This window comes from Homo sapiens, chromosome 9 (genome assembly GCF_000001405.40).
Source record: "Homo sapiens chromosome 9, GRCh38.p14 Primary Assembly".
Lineage (NCBI taxonomy): Eukaryota > Metazoa > Chordata > Mammalia > Primates > Hominidae > Homo > Homo sapiens.
The window spans coordinates 17320325-17336307 of record NC_000009.12 but is presented as its reverse complement, the minus strand read 5'-3'; the positions used below and the strand labels follow the sequence as shown (position 1 = coordinate 17336307).

Genomic DNA, 15983 nt, shown 5'->3' with positions numbered 1-15983 from the left:
TTGGATATCTTAAAATAAATATTTTTCAAAATATCCAAATACTTTCTTTATAACCTTCTAACAAACACAGGTTAACTGTAGTTTGGATTATGATCCAAACTTTGACAAATAGTAAGCAAAGGCAAAATAATAGTACTTTATTTGGGAACTATTACCACCAAAGATCTTACAACAAGTCAAGTGTATGACCTGAAAAATGTATTTTATATCACTAATTAATATATTTTCCTACAGGATACACACAAAAATATTCCACAGGCAGGTGCTGAATGAGATCAGTTCATTAGATCATTCAATAAAACATTTACTAAGTACTTCCTTTGGATTTTGTAATTAAACTAGCTAAACTAGAAGCTCTAACTTTGTTTTTGTTTTTGTTTTTGAGACAGACTCGCTGGAATGTAGTGGCAGGATCTCAGCTTGCTGCAACCTCTGCCTCCTGGGTTCAAGCGATTCTCATCCCTCAGCCTACTGAGTAGCTGGGATTACAGGTGTGCACCACCTAACCCAGCTCATTTTTTTGTCTATTTTTAGTAGACACAGGGTTTTGCCATGTTGTCCAGGCTGGTCTTGAACTCCTGGCCTCAAGTTATGCACCCACCTCAGCCTCCCAAAGTGCTACAATTACAGGCCTGAGCCATCGTGCCTGGCAAGGCTCTTTCTGTGTACGAACAAGTATGAATGAATGAAACATTAGGAAATAGAAAACAGGAAAAAATGTATCAACTGACCTTTTCCTCAAAGATCTTTGCAATTCTAATTCTGAATTGATTAAAAACATAAATAATTTTTGAAACACAGTCTCACTCTGTCACCAGGCTGGAGTGCAGTGGTACGATCTCGACTCACTGCAACCTCTGCCTTCTAGGTTCAAGCAATTCTCCTGCCTCAGCCCCCTGAGTAGCTGGGATTAGAGGCATGCACCACCACACCCAGCTAATTTTTGTATTTTTAGTAGAGACAGGGTTTCACCATGTTAACCATGATGGTCTCGATCTCTTGAACTCGTGATCCACCCGGCTTGGCCTCCCAAAGTGCTGGGATTACAGGCGTGAGCCACCGCGCCCAGCCAATAATTTTTTATCTAATCTTCAGGTTTGAACAAAGGTTCCTAGATGAGAATAAGCTGAACTAAAAGCATGAACCCCAATATGGATGGATGTCATTTAATCTGTTGAAAACCTCAATAGAATAAAAGCTGAGTAAGAAAGATTCCTTTCTCTCTGCCTGCCTTCAAGCTGGGACATTAGTCTTCTCTTGCCTTCTGACTTGAACTTGAACTTACACCATCAGCTTTCCTGGTTCTATAGTTTTTGGGCTCAAACTGGAACTATACCATCAGCTCTCCTGGCTCTCTAGCTTGCCAATTGAAAATCTTTTTTTTTTTTTTTTTTTTTAATTTTAGATTCAGGGAGCACATGTACAGGTTTGTTACAAGGGTATATTGCAGGATGCTGAGGTTTGGGCTTCTATTGATCCCATCACCCAGATAGTGAACACAGTACCCAATAAGAAGGTTTATAGCCCTTGCTCCCTTCCTTTTGCAGTTCTTTAGTGTCTACTGTTCCCATCTTTATGTCCATGTGTACTCAGGTTTAGCCCCCACTTATAAATGAGAACATGTGATATTTAGTTTTCTGTTTCTACATTAGTTCACATAGGACAATGACCTCCAGCTGCACTCATGTTGCTGCAAAGGACAGGATTTCATTCTTTCTTATGGCTGCATAGCATTCCCTGAGCGACTACAGATCTTATACTTCTGAGCCTCCATTATCACGTAAGCCAATTCCTTATAGGAAATCTCATATAAATCTAATTTACTATAAGGAATTATATAAATATAGTAAATAATTGTTCTGTGTGTGTGTGTGTGTGTGTGTGTGTATTCTATTGGCTCTGTTTCTCTGGAGAACCCAGGTAACAAATTTCAAGAATTATGCAAAAGGGCCAGGAGCAGCGGCTCGCGCCTGTAATCCCAGCACTTTGGGAGGCTGAGGCAGGAGGATCATTTGAGGTCAGGAGTTTGAGATCAGCCTGGCCAACATGGTAAAACTCCATCTCTGCTAAAAACACAAAAATTAGCCAGGAGTGGTGGCACACGCCTGTAATCCCAGCTACTCGGGGGGCTGAGACAGAAGAATAGCTCGAACCTGGGAGGCAGAGGGTGCAGTGAGCCGAGATCATGCCACTGCACTCTAGCCTAGGCAACAGAGTAAGACTCTGTCTCAAGGGAAAGAAAAAAAATTATGCAAAAGGAGGAAGATGATAGACTTGCTCCTCAAAAATGCCCATAATATCCTGTGCCTAACCACACATTTACAATTAACACAAGAGTTAACTACTTACTTACCTTCTTAACTAGAGAAAGGGTCTTGAAGGATAGCAACTCATTTAACAGTCTCCTGTTAGACAAGTACTAGTATGATGCTTAGCTAATTGCAATGCTCAGTAATTGCTATTGAGGAAACAAATGAATAAGAGAATAACTTAGGTGTTTATCTAAGTTCTTTATAAATTTCAAGTAGGCTAAATGCTAGCTGAGGTCATTTGGACATGTTATTTTTGGTAGAAACACATTATAATTTTCATGTTTTAGAGCAGTTTAACTCTGAATGAATAAACATAAACTAAAACTTAATGTTTAAACTTAAGGCAAACTAAAATTATTAATTATAGCTTATTGTTAACTATACCCATAAACCCTATTTTGTTTTAGAACACACATAATCTAAACTGAACATTTATCTCCTTAAGAGTAATCTATATTATATGACAAAGAATCTGAGCTTCATGTGTACTGCATTCTAATCATGTGTAAAGCACTAGATTTACAGAATATCATAAAACTACTTGAGAATTATATGATTAAACTTCAAATAGGGCACAGCTTCAGGTAATTGTGAATGAAGAATGAAAGAGAAAAAAAACCCTCAATGTAGTCACACAAAATGGGTTCAATATGTATGAACAACTTGCATATTGAAAAAGAGATTTCACAAAGTATGAATTAGGAAGTATTAATATAAGCTCTCAAAGACTGGTCGATAACATACATGTTTCTTAAACATGGTAGAGTGCTCATTCAAATGTCACATGTTCTGAGACAAATTCAGCTGAAATGAAAAAATATATATATATTTCATTTTGACTAAATGTAATTTTTCTATAAAGGATAATTGTAAGTGATCTGAGCTAGGTTAATATGCTTTTAAACTCACTTTCATTTACATATGTTTATCATATATAAAGAAGAAGAAATTCTCTTTTCACTTGCTACAATTCTATTTTTTGCCTTTGGGAAAGGGTTAAGAAATTTATTCCCAATTTTAAGACAAAATATTACCAAATAACTTGAAAGTAGTAAATAAACATTTACTTTTCAAGTAGCAAATATTTTATATTATTTTATCATCCTCAGAAATCTTAATAACAAGATGAACTGATTATACACTTTTATACAGGCAATTAAATTCAGGAAAGAAAAAGGACAACTAGTAATCTATGAACTGTATGTTTACTTTGGTATATTTTTATCTTTGCAAGGTTACTACTAAAGAAATGATTTAATGTTCACCTTTAGTTGTAGTGCCTTCTCTAAGTTTTCAATCTTTCTTTCAGCTTTTCTCAGCTTCTGTAGCTCTTCTGAGTCTGTGAAAGAGCTCTTTGGGGACAAAGACCTTGAACGTTTCACAGGTGGTTCCTCGAGAATAAAACAAGGACATGGTTGAACTAGTTGGAACACTGGATTATGAAAGACATGCAAAATTAAAGAACAAGTAATTTTGAATACTAATAATGAATTATAAAAAAAAAAAAAATCCTGCATGGAATACCAGAGAAATAACAAGCGGAATTACCACAGTGCTACCGCTAAAGGTTTCTCTGTGACTCGTTAATGAGAATATTCATTTACATTTACATTGTTTCTTTCAGAATAATGATGTCCCATTAGGGAAGACTAAAGGGTTATAGACTCAGAAATGCAAGAAACCTCATTACAAAGGAGGGGATAGAGGCTGGTCTAATTGCTCTATAAGGGTCCAAGGTTACACTTGATAGGACAACCAGAAACAAGAGGGAAAGGATTTTTTTCCCTTTGAAATAGTTTAACACACTGTGAAGTTGAAGGAACAATATGCTTGAGGAATATAAATACAACAGACAGTAGATCTTATACCATAATGACCATATGGTCATTAACTATAATGTGGCTAACTAGAGACAAGAATACGTTTATATTATGTACAGCTTCATATACCAATCTGGAGAAAGAATATGTGAAAGCAACTATTAAGCTGGGCAACACAGTGCTCATCCTTACTGCATGGCCTTACAAAAAGAAAGAAAATTTTGGCCATAATACCCCTCTCTTTTTCTTGACTTTTATTAAAGGCAGAAAAAAGTCAAAGTCATACATTTTTAAATTTCAGCAATCGAGCAAGCAACCAAATTAGGCCCGGTAATGCTGTATTTCAATTTTATGAATGTTTTCTTTCATTTAAATAAAGTTCAGTGCTTGTGAAACTACTTCAAAATGGCAAGAAATGTATAATGCAGTTATGTTTTAATAAATAAATCTCATTTTCTGAAAATTACTAATAATTTCAGAGAGCATGAATAACAGTACCACAGAAACATGGTTCAAATTTTAAATACTTCCTTTATTAAGATAGTTTGTCCTACCCATAAGAAAAAATGGAAAGAAACAAAAACAATTATCTTAACAACATGGCTTCCTATTATAAAAACTATTATTCCTTTATTGCTGAAGTAACAAGCGTGTGAAAAATATGCTAAAACTCTTACTCTGAGGAAAATGTTATTTCAATTTATCTAGAAATAATGTATGTACTACATGATATTTTAGAATTTTTATATTAGTCAACATTCTGTAGAATCTTTTACAGCGTAACACAACTATGTAATGAATACTAAAAAAAATTGAGACATTAATAAACGAGAAACATGTAAAATTTGCTTATTTTTCTCTTAATGCTATCCCTTTAAATCTATAAAAATATATAACAAGTGCAGAAGTTAGTGTTAAAATTCATTTACTATTTTATTTTCCACACAGACAGTATTTTAAACATCATATCTGATTGAAAGACATATTAGATATATTTTTCTTTTAATTCAAATTAGAAAAGTGAGTAAATACCATTTAAAAATAAATTTTTAATCAGATAGATTAATATATGAGAGAGATGAGGAATACTTACCAAAGTTTTAATATAAGAATGTTAATTTACTGACAAAATGGGTATAGCACTAATAATATATTTAATTAACTAATTTGGGAATATAACTCAGTCTTTAAAAAGGGAAAACTCCTTACTCCTAAAACTTATTTAACAAGAGTTCGGTACATAATATTTTTCAAAAGTTTCCCGAAATACAAGCAGAGAAGTAAATGCTGCCATTTGTTTTTTAACTTCATCTCTTGTCTTTCCAGCCTCATCCTGGCAAATTCACAAAATGACAAAATGTCCCTACCTTATGTTTTCCTTCAGCACTTGTCATGATGCTCTTTCGGGAGAAACCCTTGTTGGCAGATATGTTTTCTGACAGTTTTTCATTTGCTATCTTTAGTTTCTCCTGTAAATACTCAATTTCAGACTTCTGTGAAACCATTAACGTTTCTAAGCTTGATAAGGATGGGCGATGAGGTACCTATTTTAAAAAGTATAATTGTAAATAGATATCTATGTTTGTATCTTACATTATTTATAAATAAATAGTTAAATGTAACACTATATTATAGAAATTGTAAATATTCAGAGAAGGAAATTTTCCTTTTAATAATAAACTAGCAGGAGCTGAACCTTTTCATTCCATAGAATAGTATTTTCCAATAAAATAACCAAGAGTCTATATGCAAGTATTTTCATAAATAATGCTGTCATATAGATTTCAAGGAAAAAAATTTAAAGCATGGCTGCATGATACACACCACTCATCTATAAATGAGTCATTTCAAATTTCTGATTATACACATATGTATTGCCTCACAAAACAGTCAATCCACCATCTGGTCATCAAGAGTCATACAATACCATAGAATATAAACCTGGGAAAAGGAAAACAACAGCATTATAAGTACAATCAGCTTTTACTGTAAACTAATTTAATAACAACTCCTCAAAGAACCCTGACAATTTTAAGTCAATATAGTTTACAGCATTCTCCTTTGAAATTTATTCATGTTTCAGATAAACTGCTAATGGTAAGCTCCACATTTTAACAACAGAAGTCACAGGAAAACTAATCTTGTAGGAAACCTGTTCATGAAAACTGGAATTCTGCAAAATTTGACTACCATCTCCACTGAATGTATTTGAGGCCATTAAAACCCATGCAAATTCGCTGTTTCAAATTAACAACTACATTTACAAAAACAAAAACACAGAATCACATGAAAACAGTTTTTGTTGACTTACAGGCAAACAAATGTCAAATCTTATGATTCTAACATTATCAATAAGGATCTAGTAGCCCTGAAAATATTTGCACTTAAACTGATGAAGGGCCCCATCCTTCCTAAATGATATTCCTAAGTACTATGAGAAAAATATATACGGTTAACTTTTTTGAACCAACAATGGGAAACATCATCCTTTTCCAATTGTGCCTGCTTTTTTCTTTTTTGAGAGGATACGCAAAATTTTCCTAATTCTAACCTGCAATTTGTATAATGAGAGGGACCATATTTGATTTATACTATTACACTTTTCTCATATTTAAATCACCTCATTTGTTTCCAACCTTTATTCTACCATATGATTATCTTCCTCAAAGTATTGTTTACATTGTACTGTTACCATACTTACAATATATTACTTATTTCATTATCTTGCTTTGAACATCAAATTAAAATATTTTAAGCATTTCTCTTCCAGGAAGTCTAAATGATTTTGCCCTATTCTTTTATCCCCATTTTAATCGTTGTACAACTTTTATTTTTTATCTTTTCTCCTGTTTTATAGTCAAACTTCTGAGGTTTAGAAATATTTCCTTTGGTTGGGCTGCCAAGCTAAACTATTTCAAAGGCTACCTGCTCTTGTCTAGGTTTCCTTTAATAAAATTATAAATGTTATATTAACATCCTATCATATACAAAATAAATTTTAAATAATTTGTTTAAGGTCAAACAAAAACTTAGAATAAAATCAGAAAAACATAATTTTAGTTTATTGGTATATCCAACAAGCAAACTTGTGTTCGTCAATAAATGAACTTCCTAAGTCATCAATGGATTATAATGCTATAGCTAGGAATATTATAAAATTAATATTCAGTCAAGAAGCTATGATAAATAACTCAAATATAAGACATTAACAATGCTCCAACAGTGGATACTGTCACTATAATAATGGATTCATTTTTAATATTTCTACTGATATTATATTAATGATATTAATATTTTTGATAACAATAAAGGATATTTAGGCAGCATTCCTTCAAAATTCCTCAATAAAAAATCAGAGAACTTCACAATTAAAATACTATCAAAGAGTGAATAGAAGCCAGGAAGATAATGCAGATAAATAAATATGTGTTTTAAAGTAATAGCTTTAAAATTCATCCAACAGAGGCATTTTGCATACATATTAACCAAGTAGATATGTTCCTCCCCTTCACAAAGTAACTTATTCATGTTCCCATTTTCTTTAAGTCTGGTTTGTCTCTCTCTTGCCTTTTATCACTTTTGTTACAGACATGTTTACAAGAAGTGTTTTACATTTCTCCTAATAAAACCATTTTTTTAAGTATTAAATATGAGCAAAATGAAGTGTCAACACTCAGCCCCACTGCTGAGTGGTAAGGAGGGAATTCAGGGCAGTTGCCGCTCAACTCCAGCCAATTGTTTTCAGGGAAGAATGTGCCCCACTGTTGCTAGATTTACTGATTTTTCACGAAAAGCAAAGAATTAGGATTTCTAAGGAGAGTGTCCAAATTTTCAAATGTTGGTTGGACCCAGTTTATGGGTTACTTTGAGAATGTGGTAGTGGGTAGAAGTATAATCTGCTATCAATTTTCTAGAGAAATTATGAAAGATGCATCAAAGCTCATAAAAATGTACCAAACCTTTAATTTACTTCTAATTATGCTGAAGGCTAAAATGGAAAGATATCTATGATAAACTGAGAAAAGTAGGGTACAAAAGGGTATATTATATGTAGAAATAGATTTCACCAAACATGCATAAGGTACAAAAACAACCCTGAAATGTTACAGTGTGATTTCTAAGTAGAGGGACTGTAATATGAATTATTTTCTTTGTACTTACCTGAATTTCCTTAAAGATTTTACAATGGACATGTCACTAAATGCTTTTTTTTTTCTTTTTTGAGACGGAGTTTCACTTTTGTTGCCCAGGCTGGAGTGCAATGGTGCAATCTCGGCTCACTGCAACCTCTGCCTCCTGAATTCAAGCAATTCTCCTGCCTCAGCCTCCTGAGTAGCTGGGATTACAGGCATCTGCCACCATGCCCAGCTACTTTTGTATTTTTAGTAGAGAAGGGGTTTCACCATGTTGATCAGGCTGGTCTCGAACTCCTGACCTCAGGTGATCCACCTGCCTCGGCCTCCCAAAGGGTTGGGATTACAGGCATAAGCCACTGCACCCGGCCTAAATGCTTTTCAAAATAGAAATATTTATTTTTTTGCAAATAAAATGACTATGAGTTCAATGTAAAAATTTCAGTATAGGTAAGGGAAATATAAATAAAAGTCTCTTCACAATCTCATCCCTCAAAGTTCCTACTAGTAAGTTTGTGATATATCTCTCAGACTTTGAAAAAAAAAAAAAAAAGGAAACAGCTGGGTGCGGTGGCTCATGCCTGTAATCCCAGCACTTCGGGAGGCCGAGAAGAGCGGATCACGAGGTCAGGAGATCGAGACCATCCTGGCTAACACGGTGAAACCCCGTCTCACTGTGGCAGACGCCTGTAGTCCCAGCTACTCGGGAGGCTGAGGCAGGAGGATGGCCGTGAACCTGGGAGGCGGAGTTTGCAGCGACCCAAGATTGCGCCACTGCCCTCCAGCCTGGGCAAGAGTGAGACTCCATCTCAAAAAAAAAAAAAAAAAAGGTTAACTACTATATTTTTGTCATTTAACATACTTTTTAAAAATTAATAGACTTTATTTTTTACAACAGTTTTTTTATGTAAAGAAAAACTAAGCAGATACTATGCAGAGTTCTCCCTGACCTCCTACCCCCACCCACTCAGTTTCCCCTATTATTAACATCTTAAATTAGTATGGTACATTTGTTACAATTACTGAACCAATATTCATACATTATTAGTAACTGAAGGACATAGTCTATTCATATTTCCTTAGTTTTTTCCTAAGGTCCTTTTTCTGTTTCAGGATCCCATCTAGGATACATTACATTTAGTTCCTATATCTCCTAGAGCTCCTTTTGGCTGTTTTCTCAGACCTTCCTTGTCTTTCATGACCTTGACAGTTTTCTGTAGGATGCCCCTCCTTTGGGATTTGTCTGATGTTTTTCTCATGATTAGACTGGGGTTATGAGTTTTGAGAAGGAAGATCATAGAGGTAAAGTGCCATTTTCATCACATCATATCAAGGGTATATGCTATCAACATGATTTATGACTGTTGATATTCAGTTTGATCACCTGGCTGAAGTAGAGTTTTGTCAGATTACTCCACTTGTAAAGCTACTCTTTTCTCCCCAGCCATACTGTACTTTTTTACTTGCTTTTTAAAAACTTAATAATCTCAAACATATACACATATAACTATTATATGTATAAGTAATAAAATATATGATATACATGTATATCATCATAGATCTCCATATATCCTTACATATCTTTAACCTTTTTAAGGGCTGCTTTACATGTATAGCAAAATCAAGTTAACCAATCCCCTCTCTGTGGAAGTTCATTCTATTACCCTTAAAATCCTAGAATCTTTGAAAAGTTAACTTTCCTTCCTAACAATTATTCACATTTTATAAATAAATTTTTTTCTCTAATATTAAAAATATTTTGCTCCCTTTTAGTTTACATTCTTGAAATACAATGGTATAGTGCTATACTATAATTAATCTGAAGAAAAATGATTCGTGGACTGACTACACGGCTAAAGGCTCCCAGGTGGAAATAATCTTTTTAAATTGCCATTGTTAACACATAACTTTATTTTTCACACTGACTCACAGAGCTAATTTTAATTGAAAAGTTCTGTAGAAGATATATATTAAATAGAATAGAAGGCATGGGGGAAGGGCCTTTAGGTGTTATACAAATTACTATTTTTTAAATTATACAACTTAAATATATAGTCATGTTGCATTAAATCCAAGAAATATTGTAGGGCATTATTACAGTGGGGGCCGACTGAATATTGCCTAATACATAGAAAATTGTTTCACAGCTATAATAATTACAAAAATTGTAACTTAAATTGTTTTATTAGCAAATTATAATTAAATATTTTTTCCTACTACATTGCAATGATGATAATAATTAGCATTTAGCAAAAAAGTGTTTAGTTCCTACCTCTGGCTAAGCATTTTGCATACATTATCTCACTTGTTTTAAGAAATTTACGAATTCCAAACCTGTCAACACATAACAAAGCCTATAGCAAAACAAAAACATTTCTAAAAGCACATGATACCTCAGCAAAAGAAATACTTTTTCTTAAAACAATATATCACTGAAAATCAAGTACGGGTCAAGTGTGTGTGTGCGTGTGTGTGTGTGTGTGTGTAATAAAATCTGTTACATGTGTATATAACATATCTAACATACACGTATATATCAGAAAAACTAACTACTTGAATGACGGTTCTCTGAAAACTAATTCAAACCCTCTGGGAATACAACAGAGTATATAATTGTCTGTGTATACATACACACACACACACACACACACACACACACACACATACATACACATGCACACACACTTTTCTTCTCATGAAATGCCCATATTCAGAGATTAACTTTATATTTAAAATTGATTTCAGAAATGCAGCAATATGTCTATTACCAATTAATAAAGTAAACATTGTTAGCTGAATCATCTATATCCTGAAAATAAATGACTTTAATAATAGTCATATATTCTTGTAAAAAAAAGAAAAAGAAAAAGAATATCAATTTAACATAATATTGTAAATCAAAATAGTGTTATAATAAAAATTCACAAATAAAACTAAGGGTACTAGTTTAAATTTATACTTCATTTTTAGAAAGACCACTATATTGAGTAATAAAATGTCTAATATCAACAAATTCATCTAGCACTCCTTTTAAAAATATAAATATTTGCATTTCTTCCATCTACTCACTTTTAACCAAATATTTTCAGGTAGCATTTGTAATTCACAAAATAAAATTAAATTATTGACTACATTTGAGTAAAAAATAAACTATCACCATCTCCGCTTATAACACTATCACATTATAGCAAAATTCAGTAATAAACAAGTCAGTCAAATTTAGCTTTCCTTTAGTATCTAAATACTTACATGGTACAGTCAAGTTGTTAACAGCAAAATAAAATGGAAGAAAATTAATTCCAAAACTTTAACTTCTTCCATATACCAAATAAAACTTAACACCGAGTGGGTTACAACCCAATTATACTTATATCCAGTAGATGACAATTATGGGTATATACATACATCCAGTAAATGACAGTAGCATCTTTGGTACAAAATTGAGCAACCACAAGCTAAGTATTTATTCTATGACATGTAAATATCACACTGTACTGACAAAAATTAGTAATATTTACATGTCACACAAGAGGGTTTAGAATAACTCCACAATTTACAAATTACCTATAGATTCCAATCCTAAGAGTAAACTAATCCTGACAGTGCTTAAAAGCTAGAATGAAAAGACTGATTTTTCTATAAATTTCTTTTTATCTTAAATAGCAAAATAAAACACATTCAGATTTTTCCAAAATATGTTATAAGCCTCACATTCTGCCAGAATTTGCAAATCTGGTTATTTAAAATGTTTCTGTTAGTGGCATCCTAAAATGAATTTCTAAAATTCATGGAATTAAACTTTTTTGTGGTGTATCTCTAAATATGTGACTTCGGGGTATAAGCCATTACTTACTATAATACATACTCTAAGTTTTATAAACACTTATGTCACCAGTAAAACAACCAAAATTTGTGCATTAATGGTATAAGCAAGGGACTATGCTTGTTATACATTATCATCTCTATACATTAAAACCTCAATCATACTCGAATTCACTAAAGTGTGGTTTTCAATCTGCTAACTATGCATTCCATAATAGCCTGTAATTATTAAAAACTGACAAGAAAGCTACGCCACCTGTGTTTATGTGAAGCCAGGTAATGAAAAAAACAACAACGCTGTCATCACCTCTCAATTCCTGATTGCATTATCAAAACTGTAGCCGAGTTTGGCATCTGGGTGTGACCTTGTTAACTGCTAGGGTAATTAAATTTATTCTACTGGGAAAAAGGATGATAAATTATTAGCAAGAAGATTTTGTTCACATTTTATTAAATTGGCCTGTCAAAGGGTTGGCCAAATTATCAAGGGCCTCATTTATTGGAGACCAGCCATATTGCCACATCTGTTACAATTATTTATAATTTCAGCAGTTGAAAACCAACTGAGTTAGGCATCCGCCATGTAAAGTAATTTACAAATTATCTGATGAGGGAGTGTTTTAGCTTCTCCCTCATTTCTAGCCAGCAGAAAGCCGCGCTGTAATTACAGAACACGATTAGGTTCTTTGGGGAACTTATCTTGCACACATAGCCATAGTAAGATGCAGCAAGAACATATGGAGGAGCTTGTGCTTCTACTCCCTGAAGCTCGTGACCCGCCTGCCGCTGAGCCCTTGAGTTGAATTTGAATGAGAGTGCCATGGCTAATGTTCTACACATGCACCATTTATGCCACAAAACAAATCGGATCACTGTTAATTATGAAGCAGCTATAATCAGGCCTTCACATCTGTGTAATGTGAAGCGCAGTAGGCTGTATTCCAATAATGTATGACTACCTTTGGGTTGCAAATTGCGAGCCATATTGCCTCAGTAGTAGTTACTGAATTCAGAGTAACTCCTTTGATAAAAGCCCATCACATGGATATTTTTATCCAGCTTTATATGAAAAAAAAGCAAATCCACAAGCCTTTATCAGCTATTGACCAGAACAGTTAAAGCATATGGCATAAGTTCATTAATGAACAACACAGAGCACTCTAATTTAATGAAACCACTTGAGCCATAAAAATCAGATTTAGTTAATTCCCTCTTACCCATTTTTTCATATTTAGCCTAAACCTAGGATTCTATTTAATATTACAAGTTATCAAGGCATACATTTTTTACAAATTCATAAAGAATATAAAAAAGCTTGTGTTGTATTATTTTAAAAGGCAATCATAGGTTTTATATTTTACAAATTAATTTTCATCACAAATTTCATGTATGAAAGCATAAACTATTTGTTTTTTTAGAAAGTAAAGCCTAGCAGCTGTATTCTAACAAAAAATACTCTTTACTCCATGAGAAATTTTTCTGTGGAAAGGCAGCTAAACAAGCTGCACCCAGATGGCAAACCAGCTACAGTTTAATTAATCCACTAAAAGCCATTCAGATTTCAGTAAGGGTAATGTAATTTTGAATAATAGTAGGAAAAAAAAAATCACTAAACATTCTTAAGTTTTATTACAGCGGCAAGAGAAGTGCCACTATAGAGTAGTTAAAGTTGAGTTGCAGTTTCCATTAGATATGCTAAATTTCTAGATTTTAATATCTTGGGCTGTTTCATTCTGCTTGGAACTTAAAGTAAGCTTGAAATATCAGAATATCTATTGGCAGCCTTCTTTTTATAGCAGAAATGGTTTATTTTTCATGCAGGATAGTGGAGTTGAATGATAACAAGTTCAAATTTTGTGAATATAATACACAATGGCCTTTAGAAAAAAAGTTTATAGTTAAGACTTACAAAAGATAAAGACTTCAAATTTTTCTTTTAAATAAAAATGTCTTTCATTTATTAAGGCTAAAAATCATATCATAACATTATATTTTACTGCTAAGTTGTTCTCTCCTGAAAATTGATTAAATATCAAACTATCCAAAAATCATTTCCCATATATTTGTGTGGTCATATCTACATATACAACTGAATTAAAAATATAAATTACTGAATATAATTAAATCAAGCAACAAATTACAAGGCAGTTTTCATTTACAATAATGCTGAAGAATAAATCAAGTCAACTTTTCAAATTAAGTTTACACATATAAACTCGAAACTAATTAAGTATAAAAATACGATGATAAGCATAATATAAAAGTACTATCTTTGTGGCACCTTGACCTAATATATTGAAAGTTATTTTGATCCTGTACAGTAAGATACCTAGAGAAAGTATAAGATTGATATTCTTCCATGCTGAAAATGAGAAAAAAATGGAATAGAAACAATAATAAAGTAAAAATCATAAAAACCAAACAAAAGCAAACCAATTATTAACTCTGGCATAATATTTTGCAACTAAAGTATGACAAAAGTTACCAGCATTCTGAGCCCAAGTAAAGGTACTACAATCAGATCTTCTCCCTACCACCTGAAAAACCAGAATACTGTACTTTAGTTAATGCCAAATAGTCACTATCAATATCAGACCCTCTGGCAAGAAAATAAAGCTAACTACTACTGACATTTTTTCTCCACGTCACAATTAGATATACCCTTCCAAATGTTAATTCTTTACTGCTCTTACTTCCTACTTCCTACAATTGTTATGTCAAGGATTTTCATGTGTTCATTCAAAAAGCATTTATTGAACTTAAGACTGTCAATCACTGGAGAAGGCAGTGGGGAGAAAAGGATAAGGCATCAACTCTCCTTGCCCTCAAGGAGCTCAGAGTCCAGAGATGGAGATACACAAGGAAAACAATTAAGTTTAACATCTGCTAATGCAGAAAGAGGTACGTGGAGCTCAATCTTAAGAAAAAGTCTTCAAAAAAAGGTCTCAATTATCTTGGAACTGAATCTACAAGGTCTAGAAAGTATTAACAAAGTGGGCAAATAATATACTGTGACGAATATTGTATAGCACTCATTCCCTAACATATATTTAAAGGGTCATATGTATCTGTAAGCAAACAAGATAAAAATACAAGCTGACAGAATATTTACAAAAGAAAACTACATAAAAGTGAAAGTGAAAAACCTCACTAGTTTCCAAAGAGATAATAAAGGAATAAATTTGTTTTGAAAAACAAAAGGCTGTTTTTAAATTATAATAAATAATTGCAAGAATACAAAATGTGGGCAATCTCACATACTGTGAGAAGATAACTTGGTATAATCCTGCTGGAATGCAGTTTGGCAGGGAATATATATTCAAAAGCCTTAGGTTCATAATCTTTGACAAAGTAATTCTAGTGTTAATAATTCATCCTGAGGAAACAATCAGGGATCAGAATAAATATATATAAATGAGGCCAGACACGGTGGCTTGTGCCTGTAATCCCAGCGCTTTGGGAGGCTGAGGTGGGTGGATCACCTGAGATCAGGAGTTCGAGACCAGCCTGGCCAACGTTGTGAAACCCCGTGTCTACTAAAAATACAAAAACTAGCCAGGTGTGGAGGCTCGTGCCTGTAATCCCAGCTACCTGGGAGGCTGAGGCAGGAGAATCACTTGAACCCAGGAGGCGGAGGTTGCAGTGCACCAAGATCACGTCATTGCACTGCAGCCTGGGCTACAAGAGTGAAACTCCATCTCAAAAAAACAAACAAACAAACAAACAAAAGGCATTGGAATATATTATTTAAGAAAACATAGTTTTAAGAGGCAGGAATTCATAAACAAAAAATCCAACATGGTAGTTATCTTCATGGAAAAAAAAAGAAAGATGGAATCAGGAAAGAGTACATAGATATAATCAAGATTATTTGTGACAGTTGCTGGTGAGTATAC

General features: G+C 33.2%; 1 protein-coding gene across 17 annotated transcripts in view, besides 2 other annotated features; it reads right to left on the bottom strand.

The window, feature by feature from the left end:
• Window positions 1-15983, bottom strand: part of CNTLN (centlein) — a 393595-nt gene that overhangs the window by 192327 nt on the left and 185285 nt on the right. For 15 of the 17 annotated variants that reach the window (XR_007061321.1, XR_007061322.1, XR_929282.3 and 12 more), the window contains 2 exons: window positions 5500-5676; window positions 3578-3703 (listed from right to left, as the gene is read on the bottom strand). Coding sequence is in view for 13 of the 17 variants with exons in the window: in XM_017014839.2 (XP_016870328.1) it covers window positions 3578-3703; window positions 5500-5676 (303 nt within the window). In the remaining 4 variants the exon portion in view is untranslated. Of the gene's footprint in view, window positions 1-2353; window positions 3556-3577; window positions 3704-5499; window positions 5677-5956; window positions 6049-15983 lie in introns of those variants that run through there. The other 2 variants (XM_017014844.1, XM_017014845.3) reach the window with 2 other exon arrangements.
• Window positions 3638-4284: an enhancer, noted in NCBI's record as "OCT4-NANOG hESC enhancer chr9:17332022-17332668 (GRCh37/hg19 assembly coordinates)". NCBI's record gives its function as "activates a minimal SCP1, AML or CMV promoter by ChIP-STARR-seq in primed H9 embryonic stem cells {active_cell/tissue: H9 hESC(primed)}" and the evidence as "EXISTENCE:reporter gene assay evidence [ECO:0000049][PMID:30033119]".
• Window positions 11935-14106: an enhancer, noted in NCBI's record as "VISTA enhancer hs529". NCBI's record gives its function as "enhancer in: hindbrain (rhombencephalon)[5/8]" and the evidence as "EXISTENCE:transgenic organism evidence [ECO:0001131][PMID:17130149]".